The sequence below is a fragment of the Homo sapiens genome, chromosome 1 (assembly GCF_000001405.40).
Source record: "Homo sapiens chromosome 1, GRCh38.p14 Primary Assembly".
NCBI classification, from domain to species: domain Eukaryota; kingdom Metazoa; phylum Chordata; class Mammalia; order Primates; family Hominidae; genus Homo; species Homo sapiens.
The window spans coordinates 121184643-121212005 of NC_000001.11; the positions used below are offsets into that span (position 1 = coordinate 121184643).

At 43.7% G+C, this 27363-nt stretch overlaps 1 protein-coding gene across 2 annotated transcripts in view, besides 1 other annotated feature; it reads left to right on the plus strand.

Annotated features, from left to right (window-relative positions):
* Positions 158-452: an enhancer, noted in NCBI's record as "tiled region #3361; HepG2 Activating DNase matched - State 9:DNaseU, and K562 Activating DNase unmatched - State 1:Tss". NCBI's record gives its function as "activates a minimal TATA promoter and a strong SV40 promoter by Sharpr-MPRA in HepG2 and K562 cells {active_cell/tissue: HepG2 | K562}" and the evidence as "EXISTENCE:reporter gene assay evidence [ECO:0000049][PMID:27701403]".
* Positions 333-27363, plus strand: part of SRGAP2C (SLIT-ROBO Rho GTPase activating protein 2C) — a 207900-nt gene continuing 180869 nt past the window's right edge. For both annotated transcript variants that reach the window (NM_001329984.2, NM_001271872.3), the window contains exons 1-2: positions 333-482; positions 2263-2871. In NM_001329984.2, coding sequence (NP_001316913.1) covers positions 2805-2871 — 67 coding nt within the window. In that variant the 5' untranslated portion in view covers positions 333-482; positions 2263-2804. The remainder of the gene's footprint in view (positions 483-2262; positions 2872-27363) is intronic.

Sequence of the window (27363 nt, forward strand, 5' to 3'; positions counted from 1 at the left end):
CCACCGGCCTCTACTCTTTATTGGTTAAAATTCCCCGCAACACCCCTCCTCTCTACCCCGGCCCAATTGGCCATGCCTTAGCTCAAGAGTTTGTGTTTGGTCGTCGGTTCCACCTTAATCCCGCCCATCAGTTCTACTTCGGGGTTCAACAACCCGGGGTGGAGCTTAATCTGTGACCACGCCTCGGCAGTGCTAGTCACACCTCCAAGTTTTGCCAGCTCCTCCCCCTCATTCCGGGCCTCTCGGTATCAGCTCTTCCTATTGGCTATGGGCCCCATCGGTCGATAGAAAACGGGCGGTGATTGGTAAAGGGGTGGGCTCTACTTCCCGGCGGGGTCCTGCGGAGTTGGCGGAGGCGGCGGAGGCTCCTCCAGGGACTGGGGCACCGATCTGCGTAGAAACGGGTGGCGGGGAAGAGAGGGGAGGAGAGCTCTGAGTGGGAAGCGGAACCGGGGGCCTGGGACCCGTCGCGTCAGAGCCAGGTAAAGGCTCCTTCCCTCTTCCTTTTCTTCCTCCCGGCCGCCGGGCTGGAGCCCTGACTGAACAAACCCGGGCTGGGGCGGGAAGGAGAGGGCGCGGATGCTGCTCGCGGCATCGCCTTAGCGGTGCCGCCCGGAATCCCTCAGACCGCCCCTCCTCCACCCTCTCCAAATCTCCCAGTACAGCCCATAATACTTCTCAGGACTGCGAGTCTCTCCGCCCATCACTGTACAGCCTGGGACTCCGTCCTGGCTCACGGACCGCAGCGCAGCCAGCACCCAGCCGCCTCTCCCTTTCCTCCGCACACGGGCAGCCGCGGTCCACCGTAGGGCAGTCGTCGTTGGCATCGCGCGTAATCATCGGCCGGCCTCCTCCAGTGTCTCCCAGCCCTGGCGGACAGCCCGGGTCCCAGCCTAGGACCCAGGAGGATGGGTGTTCCGCGCAGCTTCCGGGGCTCTCCCCGAGTCCCACCCCCCGGCCCGCCCCGATGGACTTCTCTTCGCCCACTCCCATCCCTAGACCACATCTCGGCCCCCACAGTTCCTGACATCCTTGCGCTTCACGCAACATCGCGGCCCATGATCATGCCCCAATTCCCCTCACCTCTAAGGCAGCCTTCTCCTTGCCGCCTCCCGCCTTCCGAGCGTGTGCAACTCCAGTTGTCCCCGGGCTCCCTTCCAGCCTCAGGACCCCATCTCACACCCGCCTCTCGCTTCCCGCTTCCCGCTCGCCTGAACCCCGCCGCCTCTGCTCCCTGTCTTGTTTCCTCAGCGTGGCCCCTTCCTCCAGCCGCGGGAAGTGGGAGACGCTAGCGGGAGCTTCCTCCTCCCGGCGCTCGGAGGAAAAGGAAAGACCAAGTAGAAAGGGTCGCCGCTGCGGCACGCGAGGGAGCTAGTCGCCGGGCTCCGCGCTCCCGCTTGCGTCCCTCCAGCCCCCTGGGCCTCGTCCGGGGCCGGATCTTCTCGGGCACCGCCTGGTGCGAGGAGTCAGGACTGCGACCTCACCGACCTCCTCCCATCCCCAGCCTGGGATTGGGTGGGATATCTGGGATCTCTGAGCTTGGGTGTCAAAAAAATATTGGGGGTGGCATTTATAGTCACTATCGTCCCTAGCTTGAGGGAGGCGACGGCTGCCTTCCGCTCGCCGCCCCCCGGTTTTCCCGGCTCCGACCCTATCCTCTAACCCGTTTCCTGCTTCAGCTGACCACATTGTTTTCCTGGATGTGTCCCGTGCCGAGCAGGCTTTTTCCTGCAGATTTGCCCCCCCCACCCCATCAACATTTTGCTGCCAAGAGAAGCTAGTAACCAAAAACAAAACAACTGGGAGGAGGGGCGGGAGAGGAAGAAAAGTTGTGCCCTGGTGGCTTGTCCCTCCCCGGCTTTGATCCCCTTTGATGTACAGGGAGGTGCCCCGGCCGGGGGTCTGGGGCCACGTCGGGGGCTAGGTCGGGAGGGCTCCCTCGGGCTGGCCGCTGCCCAGCGCTGGCGGGGCTCAGGAGGCCGCCGAGGTGCCGCATTCCCCGCCCGGTGCCCCGCGTTCCTGCAGTCCCCGCCCGGAGCCCGCGCAGGCGGCTGCTCCAAAGTGTTTTCTTTCAGCCTTAAAATCCGGAGGGAGCTTCCTTCCTCCCCACCTCGTAGCGCCAGGCTCTGCGGGCGGGGAGACGTTAAGCGGACAGGAATGGGCCCAGGGCGGGCTCGGAACGACGTCCCCTACCCCACCCCCGCCGCGATTAGGATCTGCGCTCTGGCTGATCGCCCCCTCCCCCTTTTCCTGCATTTACAGGCAAGTGAACCGGAGCAAACGACTTCCGATCCAGTCTGCGCTGTTGCGGCTCCCGTTTGGGATTTGATTTGCAGCATCTTTGAGCCTCTACGACAAAAAACCGCGAAGCACGCCCAGCCCTCCCCCGGCACCCCGAAAAGCACCCACTCCCTCCCGGGGACACAGCTGGGCGCGTCCACACCCCCGCAGCCCCACACCATGTTGTGCGGAAGGACTTCCACTCCCCGCCTGTGTCGTTGATGTCAGACCCCAGGCCAGCCTCCGGGCGCTGCAGTTCTCCCGGCTAATGCTGAGGCTGCGGCTCCGGCTCTAGCACAGGCACCAGCCGCCGCCGCACCCGGCCTCAGCGCCCACCGTCTGCATGTGCCCGCCGTAGCCGTCTGCCCAGCCCGCAGCCCGCGCTCCACGGAGCGCTGGAGACCACCGTGGGGGGCCCCTTCTGCCCTCGAGAGAAGCGGTCTTGGAGGTATTGATTTAGGTGGTTGGATTTTTTCCGTGGATCTATCAATTCACAATTCGAATTTGGAAGAAAGAAGGAAAACATGACGTCTCCAGCCAAATTCAAAAAGGATAAGGAGATCATAGCAGAGTACGATACTCAGGTCAAAGGTAAGGGTTTTGAAAAATAGCACACTGCAAATGCTCTGTGGACTGGTGAGGCGTGTATTTCCACCGTGATTTGCAGGTTGTTCATTTCTTTGGGTGGAGCAGATGGGGGCAGGCTGACCCCAGAGGTGGTTTCATAGATGGGTCTGAACCTCCAAAGGATGGGCAATGCCAGGGGGCCATTGACACTGGAAAGGAATTTTTGCAGTGGGCTGTAGGAGTATCTTTGTGGGGCTGACCATGATTTTGGCAGCCCTTTCCCCCCAAGCCGGACAGGGTGGGGGGAGGGGCAGGAGGCTCTTAGAGAAAGGCAGTTTGCCTCCGGTTCTCTGGGTCAGGTTTCCTTGAAAGACAACTGAAATCTGACAGGTGTTTGGACATTTGTTTCAGAGATTGAAGAGGAGTCCAGACAGAAAGGCAACCTTGGGAAGGTGTACCATTTGGAGAGCCTTGGGAGAGGAGGGGTTTTTCGGATGCACTATATTAAAACATGAGATTTGCAATGGCATTGGCACCAAAAGTCCATTGCCACCTTGGGTGTACCTTGTACCTGCCTGGTCTCTGGTCGGCCTGCATACAATCAGAGATCAGAGAATAAGGCCACCCACACCCGGTCTCCGCCCTCACCTAAATCTGAATAGAGTTGGGAGGATGTTAGGGTAGCTGGTTGGTGCTGATTCTGGAAAATGGGAAGACATAATTGTTTAACCCTTCTGTGCTGTGGCCCTCTGCTCCGGAAGACATGCTTTTAAAGCCCCATTTCCCTCTCCTGAAAAATGTGAAGGGTAAAGCAAAATGTGGACTAGGAGAAACCAAGGACCTGTCTTCTCATCTAGTCGACTGACTTGACTCATGAATAAGAGCCCTTACTCAGATAGCGTTTTTTAAACCAGCAATTCCCATAGGAAGGGTTCCTGCCTGTTAAAGAGCTGCAGCATGTGTTTGTGCAAGGCACTGTCCTTTCCTGGTCAGTCACTGGAAAGAGCCATGTGGCTCCAGCCCATTGAGACCTTAGCTGGGGAGTGGAAGAGGTGGGTGGCCTTGAATGTTACACCACATGGTTGGAGCTCTGGGTTTTCCTTTGTTTCAGAGTACAGAGGGAGGGGCCCCTCCTTTCCCTGCACCAGTGCAAGGAGACCTTTTCCTATCAGAGAGGACTTGGGAAGGGCCATGGCTCCCCTCTAATGATTGCTGGGGGGTGGGGGTAGGCGTAGAGTTTGAAATGGGCAGCTCCCTTATCTCTTGGAAGGTTGGAAGGTAGTCTGAAGTCCTCATTGTACCTACAGGATCTTTTTTACGTCATTAGTTTGGTCAGTGCTGGAGGTGCCCTAAGGGGCCTTCTATCCACTTGGCTGCAAATATTGGTAGGTTTATTACAGAGGTGGGGGAGTTGACTGATTGATAGCTTCAGTTGAACTGGGATTGAGAGAGGTGTGGTTGTGAGTTATTATTGAGGTCTTGGCCTCTTGTCACTGTTCATAATCCAGGCCTGTTTTTGTAAACAATAGGCCACTGGCCTCCATGTCCTGTCCAGATGCATTGCATTTGCTCTTGGAATCCCCCCTGCAGTTTTAACCAGATATGTCTTTTTTTTTTTTTTTTTTTTTTTTTTTAACACATCCTATTCTTAAACTGTTGCCATCGGGAGTGTTAATAACTTTGATCTTCCCAGATTTCTCTCCAGAAGCACGCCATTTGACTAAGGTGCAAAGTGACTTTAAATGTTTAATTTTTGGAAGGTTCAAGGCTGATAGGTGTTAATAGAACCATATCTGCCAATTTCTTATTGGCAAAGGATTTCTCAAGAGTGTCTCAAAATTAAACACTTTGGATATTTACAAACATTGCTCATTGAGATGATGTAATGCAGTCGGCTATTTGGGTTCTCTCTTCAACCTTGCCACAAACAGACTATTTTGCTTTGCTCTGATATTTTCCCATTGATACTATTCAGGATCATAGAATTTTATAGGTGGCTGAGCATGATGTCTTACTCCGAGAAGGTGCCTGATGAATGCTTATGGAACTGATTTGAATAGTTTAGTCCTTCATTTTACAGCTGAGGAGAATACAGAGAACTGAAGAGGCTTGTCCAAGGTCACACGGCTAGATGGTGGCAGATCTGAAACTAGAAGCAGATTTACCAACTCTCAATTCTCTATTCTGTATCTTTACTATGAAACATCATCTGACCAGGGTGGAAAAAAATAAAAAATTCTTAAGGAGCCCAAATCTGTCAATGAATAATAATAGTAATAATGATAATGATAATAGATTACATTTTGGTTGCTCATTATGTTCCAGTCCATCCCAAGTGCTTTAAATGAATGGTCTGGTTTAATCCTTAACTCAACCCAGGAAATGGATATTATTGTCACCTTCCATTCACCATATAAGGAAACTGAGGCTTAGAGAGGATGAGAAGCCCTTCCAAGGTCACACAGCCAAACCATGGCAGCTTGACTTCATTCCTTTATTCATTAACTATTTATTGAGTGCTTGCTGTGTGTTCTGGCGATTGGCCATACAGCTGTGAAGAAGAAAAAGTCTCTACCCTCGTGGAGCTTATATTCTGGAAGCTGGGCTCTCTATGGAACAGCACAGAATTTGGAGACAAAGGGCCTGCGATCTGGTTTGGCTCTGCCTCCCACTAGCTAGAAGCCCTGGGTCAGAATTATTATGAGTGTCAGCTTTTTGTGTGTTATATGGGACTCATGGTGCTGCCAGACTTACTTCTCTTACAGATGCCAAGATAAAAAGAAAATTGCTGTAACAGCTATGCAGTTTGGTTTGGTTGTTAAGTGCAATTTTTAGAGTCAAAGTGATTCAGGTTTAAATCTTGGTTCTGCCAGTAGCTAGCCTTTCACTTCAGGCAAGTTACATGACTTGTCTGAGCCTCAGTTTCCTTATTTGGAAAATAGGTAAAATAAAATACATTTCCTAAGATAGTAGTGAGTTGTTGATGAGATATATAAATTATTTAGAACAGTATCTTGCACTTGTAAGTGCTCAATAATGGTACGGTCTACTTCTCTGTGAGCCTTTCTTTTGCTGAATTGGGCTGACTATTGAGGCTGCATTGCATATTCACTCCCAAAGTGCCAGCTATTAAATGATAGGAAATAAGTAAGGAATGAAACTTAAGTTCTAGCTTAAGATCATTTAGTCGTAACAAAACATCTTGGGTCAGTCACTTAAACCCTCTGGACATCAGTTTCTTTTTCTGTCAGTGAACAAGTAAACTAATTATTGGCCACTGTGGTTCGGCCTGTCTTTGACCAGAGTCCCAGGTCCTGTTTTTTCAATCAGAATTGTTTGAGTCAAATGGACTCTAAATGGGACCCTCATCTCATGGGACTTTCTGGGACCCTCCCTATCCCTTGATTTTTGCCTCCCTATAAACCACCTGCTTGCATGTGCCCTGAGGAACTCCTGAGGCTTCAGCCCCAACCCTACCCCAGAGTGGTTTTATGAGGGGTGTGCCTCCTTAGTCAACCTGCCTTGTAGTTTCTTCTTAAAAACCATCATTGTTTCTGGTTTGTGGGTGCCCACATTCCTTGGAAAGTTCATGCCTCTCAATGTCTGACTTGAAAGCAATAATATTCTTAGTCTTTTTACATAGCTCTTTCCAATTTACATTATGCTTTCATATGTAGTTGTCCGTCAGTATCCTCAGGGGATTGGTTCAAGGACTACCCCCACTTCCCCCAGGATACCAAAATCTGCAGATGCTCAAGTCCCTGATAAATAATGGTGTGGTATTTACGTATAACCTATGTACACACATCCTTCTGTATACTTTAAATCATCTCTAGATTACTTATAATACCTAATACAGTGTAAATGCTATGTAAATAGTTGTTATACTGCTTTTAAAATTTGTATTATTTTAAATTGTTGTATTGGTATTTTTATTGTTTTTTTTTTTCTTGAATATTTTCCATTCCCATTTGGTTGAATCTGCAGATATGGAACCTGCAGGTATGGGGAGGGCTGATGTACATTAATCTCTGGAAATTCTTTACAACCCTGGTCAGATTCATGGTCATAAACTGAAGCCTTTGGCCTCTAGCCTGTTAGCTTGTTGCTGGGATTGGAGCAGCGAAGGTGGTAAGGTGCAGGGCATGGTTACCAGGGTTGTGAATCTGGGTGGTATTTGGGTGAATACACATGACTGTAATGACTGTATACAGTCCCAGCTATTGTTCTTTCCTTATTTAAGGCCCCTTTCCTTTACCCTCTCTATACCTTGAGTTTTTACAGTCTCCCAGAAAGCTTGAGATTGACAGTTCATGCAAATATTCCAGAAGAAATAGTCTGAAACAGGGTGGCACTGTATGCTGAGCAGTCACATTTTCTTTCTCGAGAACATTAGGGGTCTTGTCTTTTTTTTTTTTTTTTTTTAATGTCTTAAGAGAACAGTGTGTGTGCACCACAGAGCTGGAAGCGAAATTTTGTAATTTCCATCTGGAGCATTTTGATAGAAAAAGTGCAGGCCTTTGCTTGGAACAGTTTAACCCTTTCAGGACCCTTCAAGAGCAGGAGATGAAATTTAAAACTGGAGTCATATTGTGTATGTATATATACTTGGGAATGTTGATGGCTGGTATATAAACAAGCTCTTTCCCTTGGGAGGTCTGAGCAATTTTTCATTCATGCCAACAAAGGTCTTCTCCAAAGCTTCTTTCCTCACAGCTCCCATTCCCCAAGGGAGCTTTAAATATAATCAGTTAATCAGTTTTAAATATAATCAGTTAAATATAGTCAGTTTGAAAAGCTGCAGTAAAACATTTAGTTGGAATCCTCAAGCAGATGCTATCATTTTCCCACAAGATGATTGAGGGCTCCTGTCCCTTGCTCAGGGGAAAAAACAACAACAAAAAAAGCTACTCTGCAGCAGTAAGGTGAACTCCTGGAAGAAAATGAAACTCTTGGAAACTTTCAAGTACCATACTCTGCATCTTGCAATTGAAAGACCCTAGAGGAAGGTGGTAGGCAAGGAGCCAGGGGATGCAGTGTACTGTGCAAAGAAGCAGTAGTTGGAAACAGTGTTCATGAGGGGTCCTTAGCTTTTTCAATTTCAGGTGTTCTTGGGGAATGAGAACAGAAATTTCCTTTGAAGAAGCCTATCTGGTAATTGTGGCCACATCCGTTATGTATCATGCAGGTTGAAAACTTAGACAGGCTCTGATGATTTCTCTGCTATGAGGTGTCCAGAGATAGACCTGGCTGCAGTATGTAGGCGCCCTCACTATTAAAATCAGCAGGTACCCAGACCCTGACTCCCATTATTCACTCCAGATAAACTGGGCTACCCAGTGGCACCTGTAGAGTTGTCCTTCCAGAAGTGAGAATGCTTCATGGGAATTGTGCTTACCTTATACCCTTGACCTCTGACAGCTACATTAGGAAAATATGTCATATTGCAGGGAAAAAGCAGTTGATATGTAGATTTCTGGTAGTAATAAAATTAGCAGTTTTAACCTGGTGTCAGCTCCAGAATTGACTTTTTGGGGAATCTGGGAAAGTTGCCTTGGAAGTTGTTAGGTTTAAACATAAGTAATAACAGCACTTAAAAGCATTTTAAAAAATTACAAAATTAACACCCTTACTGATTTTACAATAATGTGTAGGAACTCTCATATCTCCCTTACTCTCTCTAATTGTGGTAGAATACACAGGAGGTTGACCATCTTAACCATTCTAGAGTACAGTTCAGTAGCATTAAGTACATTCACATTGTTGTGCAGCCATCACTACCATCCATCTAAATGACTCTTTTCATCTTGCAAAACTGAAACTTTATACCCATTAAACAACAGCTCCCTATTCCCTCCTGCCCCTGTCTCTGGCAAGCACCATTGTACTTTGTCTCTATTTGATAACTCCAGATACTGCAGGTAAGTGGAATCATATTGTATATATTTTTTGTTACTGGCTTATTTCACTTCCTATAATGTCCTCAAAGTTCATCCATGTTGTAGCATATGTCCAAATTTCTTTCTTTTTTAAGGTTGAATAATATTTAATTGTATGTATATACCCCATTTTGTTTACCCATTCGTTCATTGATGAACACTTGGGTTGTTTCCACCTTTTGCCTATTTTGAATAATGCTGCTGTGAACATAGGTGTAACATAGGGGTGTTCTTTTTTCTTTTTTTTTTTTTTTTTTTTTCAGATGGGGTCTCACTCTGTCACCCAGGCTGGATTGCAGTGGCTTGATCACGGCTCACTGCAGCCTTGACCTCCTGGGCTCAAGTGATCCTCCCACCTCAGCCTCCGAAGTAGCTGGGGCTATAGGCACATGCCACCACACCCAGCTAGTTTTAAAATTTTTTGTAGAGATGAAGTCTCCCTACATTGCCCAGGCTGGTTATTTTTTTTTTAAAAGGTACACTATACCAAAGTTTTACAAGCCTGTATATACATTTCTATATAATCACTTGTCCTGATAAATTTTTTAAATTTAAGGTTTTAATATGTGCATTAGCTTGTATATTAGTATATTATTAATTATAAAGTTGTACACCTTTTAATAATTACATGAATTACTAAACTTTTACCATATTTTTAATAGCTTTATTGAGATTTAATTGACATTTAATAAATTGCACATATTTAAGGTATACAATTTGATAGGCTTTGACATATATAATACCCATGAAACCAGCACAATCAAGATAGTGAATGTAATCATTACCCCCAAAGTTTCTTCGTTATAATGTATTAATAAACCAGTACTATTGGCCAGGCACAGTGGCTCATATCTGTAATTCCAGCACTTTGGGAGGCCAAGGTGGGAGGATTGCTTGAGCCCAGGAGTTCAAGACCAAACTGGGAAACATAGTGGGACCCCATCTTTGCAAGAAAAAAAAACAAAAAACAAAAAACTGGCTGGGCACGGTGGCTTACGCCTGTAATCCCAGGATTTTGGGAGGTGGGCAGATCACCTGAGGTCAGGAGTTCAAGACCAGCCTGGCCAATATGGTGAAACTCTGTCTCTACTAAAAATAAAAAAATTAGCCGGGTGTGGTGGCAGGCACCTGTAATCCCAGCTATACGGGAGGCTGAGGCACAAGAATCACTTGAACCTGGGAGGCAGAGGTTGCAATGAGCTGAGATCTCACCATTGCACTGCAGCCTGGGCAACAAGAGCGAGACTCCATTTCAAAAAAAAATTATCTGGGTGTGATGGCACATACCTGTAGTCCTAGGCTCTCTTAGGATGATGAAGCAGGAGAATTGCTTGAGCCCAGGAGTTCGAGATTGCAGGGAGCCATGATTGATTGCACCATTGCAGTCTAGCCTAGGTGATAGAGCTAATAATTATGTTATAGAAGAGGCATTAACTTCAAGATAACTAAGTGAAAGCCTGGTATTAACAAATTTTAAAAAGTAACAAATAAATAATGATCTAAGCTACCCAGATTAGTTTCTGGAAAATTTGTTTAACCAAGACAATCTCCAAGGGAAGTCAGGCTAATAATTGTGTCTCAGCCATTACTCTGCTTTTAGGAGGGAAGGTACAGGATGGAGTGAGAAAGAAAAGAAAAAAAATCATGGCCATGTTAGGAGTGGACAAATGACAGTGTCTGTTTCCATATAGAGTTGGCTTGGCTGGGTGTGGTGGCTTACATCTGTAATCCCAGCACTTTGAGAGGCCAAGGCAGATGGATCACCTGAGGTCAGGAGTTCGAGACCAGCCTGGCCAACATGGTAAAACCTCATCTCTACAAAAATACAAAAATTAGTTGGGCGTGGTGGTGGGTGCCTGTAATCCCAGCTACTCAGGAGGCTGAGGGAGGAGAATCGCTTGAATCCAGGAGGCAGAGGTTGCAGTGAGCCGAGATCATGCCACTGCACTCTAGCCTGGGTGACAGAGCAAGCCTCCATCTCAAAAACAAAAAACAAGCAAACGAAAAAATAGATCTGGCCTGAACTAGTCCTAGGGCCTCATGCCTTTTTAGAAGGGGTCACAAATAAGCCAGATGTCAAGGAGAGGGGCTAGGGGCTCCCACTGGAGATCTACTCAGAATGTTCTTAATATGGCTTCTTTCTTCTAATGATTGACTCCCTATTGCCTGCTAAATACAGACCAACTTTCTAAGGTAGACATGAACTTCATTCTCAATCTGACTGCAACCTATTGTTTCGACCACATTTCTTATTTTGCTTTAAGAGGACTGGAAGCCTAACTTGACTGCTTACCATTCTTTAAACACATAGACTACTAGCTAACATTTGCTGTCTGTTGGATATTTACCACTTACTAAGCATTATGCTAAATACTTTATATAGATTATTCCATAATCCTTACTCCAACTTTAGGAAAACGATGTTACTAGTATCCCATTTTACTGATGAAAAAAGTGAGGTGTAGGACATTCAGTTATTTCTCCAGGGTCTGCAGCTGGTGAATAATGGAATAGGAACCTTGGTTGTCGCCAGAGTCTAAGTTCTACGTGTTGCTCATGAAATGCCCCTTTTTCGCTGCGCAGTCCCGTATCTTCACCTATTGAAATCTCATCCTTCTGCTGGGGGCAGTGGATCACCTGAGGTCGGGAGTTCGAGACCAGCCTGACCAACATGGTGAAACGCTGTCTCTACTTACAATGTAGAATTAGCTGAGGGTGGTGGCACTTGCCCGTAATCCCAGCTACTTGGGAGGCTGAGGCAGGAGAATGGCTGGAACCCAGGAGTTGGAGGTTGCTGTGAGCCGAGATCGTGCCCTTGCACTCCAGCCTGGGCAACAAGAGTGAAACTCCATCTCAAAAAAAAAAAAAAAAAGAAAAGAAAGAAAGAAATCTCACCTTTCTGGTAAAGCCCAACGTTTCTGGGATTGCTTCCTTAATTGCTCTGACCAGAAATAACCCTTCTCTCTATTTCACCCACACAGTGCTTCTCTTAATAGATCTCATATGGCATTGATCTCATACTGCCTTATGTTTGGAATATTTGTATTTCATTCTTTTTTCTTCTACCAGACTTCTGAACGTAGGAATGTTTTGAAGTTGTGTAGCGCAATGCAAAGAATACAGGCTCTGGAACCAGCCCTCAGTTGGAGTCTTGTCAGCATCACCTCCTTGCTGTGTGACCTTGCTGCAGTCACTCAACTTCTCTTCCAAGCCTCCTTTTCTGTGATGTGGAGATAATGAGACCTGCCTTGCTATTAATTGCAGTTGTGTTAAGAGTACTGGCTCAGTGTATGGCAAATATTAAATGCTAAATAAATAGCTTATTATAAGGTCCCTTCAGATAGGAAACGTGTCTGGAAGACTATTGTAGCTCAAATGGTGGCTCTCAGTAAACACTTATTGTCTGTAGTACTGAATGAATGGATGACCTAACTACTACAAATAATCTTTTAGAAATAGTTTAATTGTATCTTGACACTGTATCTTGCACAATGTCACCAGAGTGATTTTTAAAAACTCATTTTTTTTTGCTAACATCGTAGCATAAAAGACTGTTAATATTAATCACTTCCCACTTACCCTGCTTACATTTTATACTGCCTTACAGCTGAACTGCCTCTAGTTTCCTTTCTTTATCATGTTGTGTCATGGTTTGTGCTGTATCCATGCTGTGCCCTCTCTTTGGAATGGGTCCTCTTCCTTGAACCTGTAAAACTTATTCATCCTTTAAAGCAGCTCAGATGCCACCCCTCCAGGAAGCCTTCCCTGCTCCCCTGTGCGGGATCCCAAGCAGGATTCCTCAGCATCTCCCCTTGCCTTCTGCACAGAGTTCATCAGTACGCTCTCAGCATCTCCTCTGCAGTGTCTTTGTACACTCTTGTATTATTGCACTCATCATATTACATTGCGATCTCTTCATTTACATCTCTTTGTTTACAACTCACTGAGCACCTTCAGGAAAGAATGGTCTTTTATTCATTTCTGCATGTCCAGCTCCTGACACATAGTAAGCACTACAATGTTTATAAGTTGAATTGAACTGTCTTCTGAGTTGAGTTTGGATGTGATAGTGCCATGATGGCACGCTTCTGCATTTCTCCCCGACTCCAGTAAGAAACCCATGCCCTATGTTAATATTATTTGAAATTTGATATAGATTAAACTTTGTGAATATATTTGCATTATACAAGGACAAGTACAAACTACATAGCCTTATGGATCCTCCCCCACGGGGGTGTGTTTCTCCTTAAATTTATTGCTGGCACAGCCCTCTTTAGAATCACTGCCCTCTTTAGAGTCACTGCCCTAGAGCTATACTTGCTTTGACCAAATTTCTTCAGTCACATCTCTCACCTTGGAAACCAAGAAAAATGTTAACACTGAAATTCCCGAGAGTTTAAAACAAACATAAGGCTTTCTGTAATTGAAGCAAAAACACATTGTACATTTGTCCAGGATTTATTCACCATTTTAATCAGGCACTAAAAGTCTAAGTTTGAGAAAGTTTGTCTGTCTTGACCTGGAGTTAAAACTGGGTTGACCTGAAAAAGGAACTGTTTTGTTCCTTTTTCAAAGCACGGTGTGGAGAGAGCTATTGCCTGGTTAGAAGCAGCTGTGAGATCTTTGGTAAATGGGGAAGGAGAGGTCCTAAGGAACAAGCAGGAAAATGGTCCCTTATGGTTTTTCAAGTCATTTGGTATGAAATAGCCTTGACCTTATTTATACGTTGTGAATGAATGGTTCTGAACTTGAAATATGTATTCGTGAGGAAGGAAAAACAGTTGGGACATGTTCCTCCATTTTGGTGTATATTTTAGGATATCATCCTTTAGGAAGAAGGCATATTCTCTTTGTTTTTTTTTTTTGTTTGTTTGTTTGTTTTTCTTAACCATATCTTCTAAATGCATTAATCAGTGGAGAGGTGACCCAGAAATCACTGTGAAAGTTGGGACCTTATCTTTGCTGTTTGAGCCCAGATCTTGCATTTAGAATCATGGCATGGTGGGCAGGATCTGAATACTCTCCCTGGAGAAGATGACCCTGGCAGCCATGGGTGGCTGGGTGGCCAGGGCTCCACAGGAGGACAAAGCACAGAAAACAAAGGGACTTAAGAGCATGAGCTGGCCATGACAAGCCATGCCATAAGCTTTAAGAAATATGTCTTGTTTCTGAAGAGTTGGCTGTTGCCAACTCTTCTCCAAACATTGAAATCCCTTAGAAATCTGCTTCCTTTCCCCATTAGATTTTGTGTGTGCGTGTGTTTATTATTTTGGTAGGCGGTGGAGATACTGCACCAGAGCTTGTCAGATGAGTAAGCTGCTCTTTGGGAAGACATCTTGACTGAGGTACCTATTCTGGAGCAACATTTCTTTTGGGCCAATACAGTACTTTGTTACGCGTTGAGCTACAGGATTCTACACAGGCAGAATGATCCTAAGGGAAAGTGCTGGATTGGGAGGCAGAAAGCTTGGGTTCTAGTTTAGCTTTGTCATTGGCTGCCATGATTTTAGAGATAACTCACCTAAGGTCTCAAAATCCCTAGTTTCCCTATAAAATCCCTGTAAGATGGGAACAACAATTCTTGGCCCTTATAATAATGATGATGATGATGGTTAGCATTTATCAAGTGCTTCTTATGTCTCAGCTCTGTTTTAGGTGCTTTACATATATGAACTCATGAATTTCTCAACAGTCCTGTGAGGTAGCTGCTATTATTATCCCCATTTTACAGATGACGCACAGTGAGGTTAAATAACTTGCTCTGAAGCACATGGCTAGTAAGTGATGAGGACAGATTATGAACCCAAGCTGACTTAACACTGGTGTGAAGCTGAAATGAAAGAATTCAGTTGAAACTATGAGATGCTGTACACACTCAGTTGATTGTCCTCATTTCCTAGTAACTTGGTACAATAAAGAATTAATGCAGTGTTTTAAATGTCTTTCTGTTACATACCTACTGTACCTCCCTATGCCTTGGTATTCTCATCTAAAATACTAGGGGTTAAACATTAGAAACTTTCTAAGGTCCTTCCAGCTTTCAGGGTTCATGATTTTTGCTTATTAATACGTTGAAGATCGGCCTGGCTGGGTGGCTCAAGCCTGTAATCCCAGCACTTTGGGAGGCCGAGGCAGGCAGATCACCTAAGGTCAGGAGTTCAAGACCAGCCTGGCCAACATGGTGAAACCCCGTCTCTATTAAAAATACAAAAATTAGCTGGGCATGGTGGCAGGTGCCTGTAATTTATCTTAGCTACTTGGGAGCCTGAGGCAGGAGAATTGCTTGAACCTGGGATGCGGAGGTTGCAGTGAGCCCAGATCACACCATTGCACTCCAGCCTAGGTGACAGAGCAAGACTCCGTCTCAAAAACAAACAACAAAAAAGATGTTGAAGATGATGATTTGTCCCTTTTAAGTAGACACACTTTGAAGTACAAAAACCATTATATTCTCTGAATGACATTCTTTCCACCCCCAGAACTTGCCATGCCTGCATGGCTGCTGCACACTTATGGAGGGTAGGCCCCAGGTGGTAGGTAGTACCAGAGTGGCAGCTGGCCTGGAGAGCAGTTGAAGTGATACTTGTTGAAGTATCACGATCTAATAGGAAGATGTGCCTCACAGCTGGAGAAAAATCGAGGGGAGAGAGAGTTACTTGATGGGCCTACAGGTGAACTTGTGACTGGATCACTTTAATCAGGATGTTTTAATCAGGATAACTATTAAACTTTGGACTTCCAGTAAGCTCAGAGACTTCTAGAGTTAGAAAATTCCCTGCTGTAACTGGTTTGTATGGTTTTCCCCATCCATGTTGGTAGGTCAGAAATGGAATTTGTGTAACTCTTAGTATTACAGATATTTATGTTGTTGTGTGCAGTACTTAAATTTAAAAGAAAAAGGAAGTTGATTGATTGTCCTTAATGAAAATTAAAGAAATAAGGAAGTGGGAGGCTCTTAATCTCTGACATCTGGTCTGGGACAAACCTGGGGGAGGCAGTGTGGTTATGGAACTGGTATAGGGTTGATCTAGACATCTGGGTTGTTCGGGAAGTGACTTCAGGCCCTTTTAGGATGTGGAGTGGCCTCTTGCCTCTTACATTGCTCTTTATGTATTAGGCCTTTTGTCAACTAAGGATTTCTTTGAGGATTGTGATGAAGCATGCTGTAATGTGGAATTGAAATGTTTTCATGTTTATGTTTGTTTTCCTTTTGCCTAATGAATAGGCTAGTAATAGTCTGTTGTTTTAAATGAGTACTATTAATAATAATGACAGCTCATATTTTTATCATTACAGCATTTAAAAAATATCATTCATAGGGAGGAAGAAATGTAGGGTAATGGAGGACCAGCTATGTAATGTTGAAGATGTCATTCCACCTTTGGGATTCTCAGCTTCTCAGCTGGAAAGTGGAAAGATGGATTACTAGTTCCTAGCTTCATGATTTTTAGGACATATGAACAAAAAATGGCTATTGTTAAGTGAGTTGTCACATAGAGTCTAGATGTTGATTATTATCCTGGGGGAAGGATAGAAACCAGAGAATAGATAGCACAGGTTCTTCCTACTCCCCTCTTCTACTTCTGGTTTAAGGTTTCATCTTTTTTTTTTTTTCTTTGTTTTCTTCTTAAAGGTTTCATCTTTAAATGACATTAATTAGGCTTTGTGTTTTTAGCCATTTTTAGAGTCCGTTGTGCTGTATCTCCTGATCTCTCTTTTTCAGTGATTTGTGGTTATGTAAGTTATCTCAGTTCTTTGCTGTCAGCAATTTTAAATCAAACATTGAAGCATTTTGGGTAGATGACGTGTTACTTTGATTAATGAGGTTCTTGATCTGGATATTTTAAGGCCAGTAACAACACAATATGGAAACACCTAATTCTCCTTAAAACTGCAATAGTGTTCTCACTGCCAAAGCTGAAACCGATTTGTGCTGGTTACTTCTTTCTAAGAGTGAATGTGTGCGTATGAGCTTTCTTTTGCTGTTTTGGCCAGGGAGTGGGACTGCCAGTCCAGAAAGGCCAGCTCTTCTGGATTCAGTAGCAAAAGAGTTAATCATTAAGCAGAGACAGAAACCTCCCAAGTTTCTAACCTTCTCTTGTGTTAAATCTCCTTACTCTTATTAGAAGAAAAGGCATATGCACACTTAGGCATGCGCGTGTGCGCGCACGCACACAAACACCATACACACAAATACTCTAACAAAACTTAATGTAAAATGATCTCATGTTTATGAGAGCTGGAATTACTTGGGAGGGATACTTGTGTTCTGCAGGCTTAGTGGGCATGATGTGAAAGCAAGGCTATTTGGCCTGTGGAGATTGAAGATAAGAGCGTGATATGTAATTGAGTAAGAATTTGAAAAATTATCCGATAACGTTAGGAGCAGCAAAGCAACTGCGTGTACTTTTTTTATGCTTGAAACTATTTGGAGTAGGAGTGAGGAGCTAGCATTGTTTTCAGGGCATGGGAACCCCCTCCCCACCTCACTAGCCAAATATGTTTGCCTAGGCCAAGAGTGTCAGATCTCTGAGAGATCTTGACAGAGTATTTAAATACATTCTGCCCTCGGACAATTCTTCAGTGTTAATCATTTCAGGAAAAGGGCTGTCAGCTAACCTTTAAAATCCTTTCCAGAATAGTATACCGCAGCCCACCTTCCCATCTTGTTCCAGTGACCCAATCTATAAATGGTCAGTTCCTTCATTTGCAGAACTTGAAATAGTTTAAAGAAGAGACTTGATGAATTGAACTCATGTTTTTGCTGCTGTGGCCACACCCTCTATACAGACATTTGCTTCATTTGGGTTCTCAGCAACTTGGGAAGGAGGAGGCTATTGATGAAACTTTCAAGGTGTTGGCTTATAGCTACTGGAGTCTTCTTCTTTCCTGTCCCCTCCCCTCCTCACTTCCTCCAGTGTTGGGACACTTTGTATTGAACAAGAAGATCATGAGCTAATTTCAACCTGGCAGCCATTTATTTAGCACCTACTGTATGTTGTCTTTTTTTTTTTTTTTGAGGCAGAGTCTTGCTCTGTCACTCAGGCTGGAGTGCAGTGATGTTATCTTGGCTCACTGCAACCTCCGACTCCCGGATTCAAGTGATTCTCCTGCCTCAGCCTCCTGAGTAGCTGGGATTACAGGCACGTGCCACCACGCCTGGCTAATTTTTAAATTTTTAGTAGAGACAGGGTTTCACCATGTTGTTCAGGCTGGTCTCGAACTCCTGACCTCATGATCCGCCTGCCTCAGCCTCCCAAAGTGCTGGGATTATAGGCGTGAGCCACCGTACCTGGCCTATATGTTTTATACTATGCTAAGCTGTGGGCATAGAGAGATACAGAAAAAAGTTTCTGCCTTCAAGGAGCTGCAGTCTATTAGAAATGTCTTAGTCCGTTTTCTGTTGATTATAACACAATGCCTGAAACTGGGTAATTTGCAAAGAAACAATTTTTTTTTTCCGGTTCTGGAGGCTGGGAAGTCCAAGATTGAGGGCTGAATCTGGTGAGGGCCTTCTTGCTGATGGGAACTCTCCACAGAGTCCCAAGGTGGCGTAGGATATCACATAGAGAGGGAGCTGAGTGTGTAAACTTGCCAGCTCGGGTCCCTCTTCCTCTTCTTAAAAAGCCACTAGTTTCACTGCCAAGATAACCCATTAATCTATTAATCCATTCAGGATGACATGCCTTCATGATCCAGTCACCTCTTGAAGGCCCCACCATGGGGATTAAGTTTCAACATGAGTTTTGGAGGGGACATTCAAACAATAGCAAGAGGGGTGATCGGATTACACAAGTACAGTGATAGGGTCATAGTAGAGAGATATCGAAGGCTATGTGGATAAGGAATAGTCTAACAGTGAGTAATGCTGATGAGACTGGTTGATAGAGGAAGATGATGATGTTACCTAGTATTTACAGGGCACAAGGCAGTCAAAGTGCCTTGCCATACTTTATCTCATTTAACCTCAGAATTGTACAACACAGGGCAGGATGATATCCGGCCTTTTTTTTTTTCTTTTTTTTAATATTTTATTTTGAGATAATTATGCATTCACATGCAGTTGTAAGAAATAATGCAGAGAGATTGCACATACCTGTTACTTAGATTCCTCTGATGGTTAACATCTTGCAAAACTATAACACAATATCATAATCAGGACCTTGACATTGATACAGTCAAAATTCTAAACAGTTCCATCACTGCAAGGATCACTCATGTTGTCCTTTTCTAGTCCTGCCCCTCCCAGTTCACTCTTTCATCTCACCCCACTTTAGTCCTTAGTCCTTAACTGCTGGCAACCACTAATCTCTTGTCCATGTTTATAATATTGTCATTTCAAGAATATTATAAAAATGGAACCATTAGCATGTAGCTTTTTAGGATTGGCCTTTTTTTTTCACTCAGCACAAGTCTCTGAAGACTCATTCAGGTTGTTGTGCATATCAATAGTGTATCCCTTTTTATTGCTGAGCAGTATTCTATGGTATGAATGTATGATGGTTCGGACATATGGGTTGTTTCCTATTTTAGGCTGTTATGAATGAAGCTGCTCTGAACATTCATGTATAGATTTTTGTGTATACAGGTATTTTTTAGAAAATAGAGATAAGCCAGGCATGGTGATGTGTACCTATAGTCCCAGCTACTCTGGAGGCTGAGGCAGGAGAATCTCTTGAGCCCAGAGGTTCAAGATGAGCCTGGGCAACATTTTGGAGATCCTGTCTCCAAAAAAAAAAGATGGAGGTAGTTTTTTGTAATGGCAAGATTGTACATTAGAAGATAGAAAAGTAGGTTTTGCATCTTACTAGGGAAGATACATGTATATTTCTCTCCCTTTGGACTGATCATTTAAGTTGTCTCAATTTCCTTATCAAGAAACTGGCATAATATATGTTCTGCCTACATCCCAGGGTGGTTGTATAGATAAACTGAGATAATATATGGCCTCCTCCCAAGTAACTGGGATTACAGGTGCGTGCCACCACGCTGGGCCAATTTTTGTATTTTCAGTAGAGACGGGGTTTCACTGTGTTGGCCAGGCTGGTCTTGAACTCCTGACCTCAAGTGATCCTCCCACCTTGGCCTCCCAAAGTGCTGGGATTACAGGCGTGAGCCACCGTGCCCGGCCTCAGAGTAGTTCTTAAATGGCAATCTAGAGACAACTCTTTTAGGCCATCTTGCTTTTTCTAATAATTGATGTGTAGATGTTCCTTTTATATTCTGTTTACTCATTGTTGACGATTATAGGTTGCAATACCTGCTCCCGGATTTAGTTTATCATCTTACTTTTAATTGAATTATTTGATATATAAGAAATTCCAAGTCCAAGCATGGTGGCTAACACCTGCAATCCCAGCACTTTGGGAGGCCATGGTGGGAGGATCACTTGAGTCCAGGAGTTTGAGACCAGCTGAAGCAACATATTAAGACTCTGTCTCTACCAAAAATACAAATAAGTTAGCTGGGCATGGTGATGCACTCCTATAATCCCAGCTACTCAGGAGGCTGAGGTGGGAGGATCACTTGAGCTCTAGAGGCCAAGGCTGCAGTGAGCCGTGATCATGCCTCTGCACCCTAGTCTGGGTGACAGAAGGAGACCCTGTCTCAAAAAAAAAAAAAAAAAAAAGAAAGAAATTCCAAATTTAATATAGTCAAATTTACTTTTTGTTAAAGAAATTAATTTTCTTTACTGTTTTGATTTATTTAAAAGACAAACACACACAATCATAAGGATATTCTTCTATATTTTCACCTACACATTTTGCCTTTCACATAACGTCTTGAATAAACAAGGAGTAAATTTTCGTGAACAGCGTGAGGTAGGGATCTAACTTTATTTTATATTCCATGTGGCTATATTTATTAAAGGGTTCATCTTTTTCCCCATTGATTTGTAATGTCTCATTTGTACATACATTAAGTTTATTATACATATTTGTGGGCAAGATGAGTTCTCCATCATGCTGTAGCGGTGCTGCCGCTGGATGTGCATCAGGGGTTGCTGATGAGGGAGTCAAATATTTTCCCCTTTGAGGTAGCAGCACTAGGCTGTCCCCACAGCTCCAACCAGAATAGCTCTGCTTTTATGTTCACGATATTGGGTGTCCCGCTAAGATTTTATTTGAATAACTTTTTAGATGGAACAATTTTAAAAGTTAAAAACTACCATTTTTAAACAAATTACATTTTGGATCGTTTTTTGAGATAGCAAGGGTTTCGTCTCTCATCTTGGGTTGGATGAAAAGTGTAAGACAACACAGAACTCAGAACCTAGCAGCGAGGGAAGTGCCTGTTTTTCAAAGGGAAAGGAATGTGTTATTTTGCAGTTGTCAGTAGTTCCAAATATATCAACTATTCCACAAAATAATGAGTATGTAGTTTCCGTGAGAGACTTAGAACTGTCTAGAGCCTAGTCCTTATTGTCTGTGATCATAGAAACCATGGAGAAAAAAAGCCTACCTATACGAAAGTAGTTAAAAAAAAAAATAACCCACAGCAATACAAGAAATGACATCAGCCAGCAGATGACTGAAAATGAGTGGTGTTGATAAGAACTTGAGGAATTTTGAGATGGGAGAGGTGTGGGCCAGAATGAATAAGACCTTGATTTATGGACTAGGATTTGGCTAAGTCGAGAGTAGGAGGAAAGAACAGAGGCAGTGTGTCTTCCCTCAGTGGAGTTCCCACAGCCCCCACCGTGCTTACCGCTCCTGCATCACTTCCTACACCCTAATACAATGATGGTTTTATCCACCCTCACCCCCACCCCCATGCTCCTTCCCCCAGACTACACTCACTACCAGAAAGCTTGTGAGTTCTTTGAGGGTGGACAGTGGGCAGCCTGTCATTTCAACATTCCCAGCCTCCTGCACCATGTTTGCATGTGGTAGGCACCCAATAAATGTGTGCTGAGTGAGGGAGTAGACTCTTGGGCTGGAGCAGAGGAGTTATAGACAGAGGAGTAAGATCGAAGTGGATAGTTTTTGATGACCTTGAAGATCAGCCAGAGTCTGGCTTCATACTGGGGCAACAAAGATCAGTGGGGGCACTCTGAGTTGAAGAGTGATGAAGTGTGATGAAGTCATTTCAGAGGGACTCCCTGGTTGCTCTGAGTTGCCTGGCTGGGGGCAAGAGGCTTGTTCCTGCCCACACAGCATACCAGGCCTTGTGGTGGGTGCTGCAAACATGCTGTTAAATGTGATCAATTACTGGAGTCACCTGTGAGGGAATTGCGAGTCCCCATTTACTGAACAAGAAATTTGAGTCAGGCAGATGATCCGAGGTGATGGTGACCCATGATGGAATGGGGACTGCAGCTCAGGTCTGTCCAACTCTAAAGCCTGCTGGTTCTTTTATCTTGGATATTATGTTTGACCACACTGTAATCAAGAGATACCACTAAGATGGGAAGATGAGCTGCCGAGATGGGTGTGGGGCCTAGGGGTGAAGTAAGAGTCAGGAATGCCTGAGGTTTTTAGTTTGGGAGACAGGGAGAACGATGGTGGCAATGGCAGAAATAGACATATGGAAGCCAGGAAGAGGTGCAGCAGTTGGTGAGAGAATGAGCATTATTTTAGATACCCTGAGTTTGAGATGACAGTTCCATTCAAGCAGGAATTTCATTAGGCAAGTGACAATGCCACCCCCATCCGCCTTTCATTAAATCTGTCATTTTCTTTTCTTCTAAATTGGGAATGTTGCAGAGAAACTGTGAAATAGATGACACCCCTTTTACGTGCCAAATACCTGACCTCCTTTTGCAGCTTCTTACCTTTCACTTTCAGAAATATTCTCCCTTGAAGGGGCTTCGTGTTTGTATGCAGGAATTAATAGCATTTTCTTTCCCTGTGCCCTGTAGGGAAAGAGCACAGCTAAACAAGGAGAGAGAAAACTGGAGTTCTGAGCTGCCTTGCTCCGAGTTTGGTTGGAGGCCCCTTATGAGGGTCAGCTGGGAATGAAAGAAAAGTCAAGTCAAGCCCTGCCAGCACCCTCCACCACCTGACCTCCCATGGGTGACTGAAGAGCCAGCTAATGAACAAGTTCTTTTAAAGGCAGCCTGGGGAGTGTGGGAGAGGCTGAGTTCAGCAAAACATGACTAGGTGGTGCTGGTGCTGTTTCAGGGTGTGGAGGCAGAAGTGGTTGATCTCCTTAATTTGAATAACTTTGGAATGGGGAGATGGCGCTTTGATAGAGGATTTGATTGGAGATTTTGATTGTAGGATATGTTGAAAGAGGGGATCAGGCTAAAACCATTTATAGGAAATTATATTTCAGATATTGGCAGTTGAACTTAATGTATTCTATTCTCACTTCCAAAGGCTTTGAATTTTTAGTGTTATTTCTATTTTGAGGAGAGTGGCCTATGAGTACTTCTCATCCAATGTGTTCAATCCAAGGAGACTATAGGAGTTATTACTCTCCTCCTTTATAAATTCTTTCTGTGTAACAGAGATTACCCACAGTTGGCTTGAGAGTTTTACACCACAGTTTGGTAGAAAAAAGACCACTCAGCTGGAGGTCAGAGGCTTGGGTACCAGTGGTAGCTCTGACCCTTGCCATCAACTATGTGGCCCTGGGTAAGTCTCTAACCTCTCCTGGCCTCAAGCCTCTTCAGATATAGGATGAACATATAATTCCTACATCTAGGAGTTGCTGTGTTGACTAAATGAAGTAATGCTTGTGTATCAGCTTTGCAAATTACATAACCCAAACAAATATATATTAAGATTTTATTTGCTGCAACAGAAGAAAGTGGACCATCTCTTGGTGTTTGTTTTGATGAGACTTGACCTATATAACACTGGCTCAAGTATGTTTGTTAAAGTGAATCACCTGTTGCTTTCTGGGCCATACTTGAAATGACGTGCCGTGTTACAGTGAACCCCTTTTGCACCGCCCCAAGTTCAGGTTGCCCTTACACAATTTGGGCGAGATAGATGAACACGCACCTTCCTCCTTCTTAGAAACAAAACAGTGACTTGGGTAGGGTAGACATTAGGAAAGTGACTTAGCTGGTAAATATGTGATTAATAATGGAGATTTGGCCTAAGCATGAGTGCGAGCCTCTGAATACGGATGGGTAAATGATAAATAGCAAGTCTGCCAGGTTGAGCACATTGGGGAACCTCTTGGGCTCTGTTCATGCTTGAAGTATGACTGTGCCAATACTGTATTCGCTATTTAACAAAATGAGGTCATACCAATCACACTATTTTGCACGTATTTGTTTACACATCTCTTGTCTGCTAAGCTATGAGCTCTTTGAGAGCAGGGACTGTTTCTGTTTATCGTTGTTTTCTAGCATCTAGCAGAGTGCTTAGCATATAATAAATGTGTATTGGATGAATGAATGAACGAATGAAATTCCTTGCATTTTTATTCGGTTAGAGAGATTTTTTGAAAGGCATATATGTGGGATTATTTGTGCCGTCATCTGCTAATTTCACAGATGTCTTCTCAACTGTAGACCTTCATATAAGGGAAAGACCTATTTACGCATAGTTGAGTTGCAGCTGCTGCTGCCCTGGCCTGATGGCACAGTGGTGAGGGCTGTCTCAATATCTGTCCCATGTCTCTTTCATAGAATAATACCCTCCCTCAGCCCCTTTTCCCTGTATCTTCCTTTCAAGGGTTGCTGTGTAGTTAACTCTGCCTCAGGCAATTTATCTTATCTGTACTTTTCTCTTCCTCATTCCTCTTCTCTTTTCCAGTGCTTGTCCAGTAACCTCAAGGAAATCTGTTCCAACCCTTCTTTGCTGTTGGTGTATTCCTATTCATGAGTTAAATCCCAAACAAAACATACTCTAATCAGGGCAGTCGAACTTGAAAAGAGTCAGTGAGAAATCTGAAAGGAGGAAAAGCCTGGCCACGAGGCTCCAAGTGAAATGAAAGCCATAAACACCAGCTTCGTCAACCTTGAAAGCTTCTAAAAGTGCCCCTAAGCCTCCTTTTGAATCACTAAAAGTTTTCACTTACCTCCCTGTCTTTCTCAGATAAAATTTCCTCTTTCTCAGCCATGAGTCTTAAAAAACAAAGCAAAACAAAACACTTCACACCTGCTTCTTATTCAGTTTTACACTAGTGGAAAGAGAATGGGATTTAGAGTTGGAAGGCCAACGTGAGCGTCCTGCTGCCACTTAGTAGCTGTGTGACTCTGTATAAGCTTCTAGGCTTTCTGTGCCTCAATTTCTTCAACCGTTGACAATATGACCGTGTATCATCACATAATACACTATGATGTGAAGTTTATGTAGATGAAGAACTCTTTCAAGCTCACAAAGCACCAGATACATGTCAGATATTTCTAATGTTACACCAGTTTTTAATATCATGTTTCATTTCACATACGGTACTTGATATCTCAATTACATTAGAGGTTAAAACAGTTTTCTACCAGCATGAGAACTGAAACACGATAGCATGCCTTTTATGGCGAAATGTGTTTGAACTTCAAACAACAAATATATAAAACTTATTATGCAATACACCCTATCAGCAAATTAATTGAAGGCTGCCTCTAGATTGTTAGGTGTGGATGACAGGAACTTTATTTCATACTTCTTTTGTACATGCCATTGCTGTTTAACAGTGTTGGGTTCATAACAGGTGATTAGACAGTCTTGTTGATAGTTTGGAGAACGATCTTAATCATGACCTAGAATCATTCTTATTTCACAGCAACCTGTGTCTTGACTAATGTTAAACTGACTAATTTGTTTTGAAGCTGAGAATGAGAAATTGGAGGTCCTTCTCATAGATCTGAGATTCCTTTTTATTCCCGAGTTGGATAAATTAGGGTAAACAAAATCAAATACTTGTAAAAATACTGTACAAAGGAATGACATATGTATGCTGGTTCCCTAGCAGGGTAATTCCATCAGCGCTTTAAAAAAAAAAAAAAAGATTACATTCCTTCTCAACCAGCCAAAGGAGCCATTTTCCAATCTCTTATCTTGTTGGGGTGTGTTAGAAAAATATACCAAGTGCAAGAACCTGTAAGCCTGGGGTTCATTAACCTGCTTAAAACCAGTTTTACTTCAAATAGGTGATCTTTAGTGTCAACCGTTGTACTTTTGTCTGCAGGGAACAACTCAAGTTTCGTCCTGTCCTCAGTAAGCAGATGAGAGGTAGGGTTGACGTTAGAAGCCAAGTTTTTGTGGAGCAATAAGGTAAAATTATGAAGGAAGCCTATAGAATTCCAGGAGAGTTTAAAGAAAACAGTAGAATACTTTCTTAGCAAGGGTATGGGTGGGCTTCTGAGTGGAGGAAGCAGGCTAGACCTTGGGATGTTCCAGTCCAAATTCTGTTTCGGAAGCTCCCTAAATGTATGCAGAGGTTGTGTAATTGTATTCATCACTGTTGAATGTATTATTGGTTTGATTTGGTTTCACTGCTCCTAAGTTCCTTTTGTCTTATCTTGCAAGCATATCACTGTGAGTACTTAAATCATTAACAACTCATTAAAACTCTTGACCATTTTCATTTTCTACCAAGCTGAAGCCTGGGTGTGGTGGAAACTTGTGCAGGCCTGCTTGGCTGTGCGGCAACTGAGCAGCTCCTAGCAGTTTGGCTGTCAAAAGGCCACTGAATAAACAAATTGATAGGAATGGCGGACATAATCTCTGCAGTTCCTTGAAAAGAAGGAAGGGGCTGCAGGATACAGGATAGTGAAGGATCCTTCTCTTCAACCTGAAGGACTCTTCAGCAATTAACACCTTGACTCTCTTTTTATGCAACACTTTTTTTTTTGTCCTCTCAGAGACTATTTGTACTTGGTCTTTTCTTCTTTCAGGATTTCTATAGCTTCTTTTAGAGACTCAAAGTGCTTCCAGTTTTGTTACCTCATTTATTCTCTAGGGGCAGGAATTAAGGTCTTGATGGAGATGAAGTGGTACATCACTTACTGGGCTGTGGAGGCAGTCTACAACAGGCAGTTGCAGCAGTTCTTCTGGTTACATGTTGAGAGAGAGATATATATATACACATACACACACACACACACACACACACACACACACACACACACACACATCTTACCTTATTTAGGATCTCCCAGAAGATAATTTTAAGTATTTGTAATTTCTATATATTTTAAATAGCTGATTTATGCCTCATAAGTAAAGAAAAAAGGTTTCTCTGCTTTTGACTTGAATTGTTGAACTATTTGTCCCTTGGTAAACTGATCAGTTGCCGTGCAGATTGAGAGAAAGCCATTCAGTCAATCAAAATGTTTCTACTGCATTGGCATGCTTTGTAATGGAAATGAAAATGACAGCATGTTTTTGTCAGTTTAAATGAATAGGTTTCCTTTAGATCGATGCTGAAGTTGGTATTATAGGTATCTAGCCTATGAATGCTAATAATTAATTACGGAAATGCCTCATGGAAGCACTTGAACTTACCCCTGCATCTTACAGATATATCTGCCTGTTGGTGAAGTGTATGCCAGCGTTGACATTTCTTGTGAGTACTGGCATGACCCATGACACAGCCTCTGTGGTACCAGAGGGCCCTACACTGTCTTCAGAGACATTCAGTTCAGTGCATTTTAAAAAATTCATTCATTCAATCACTA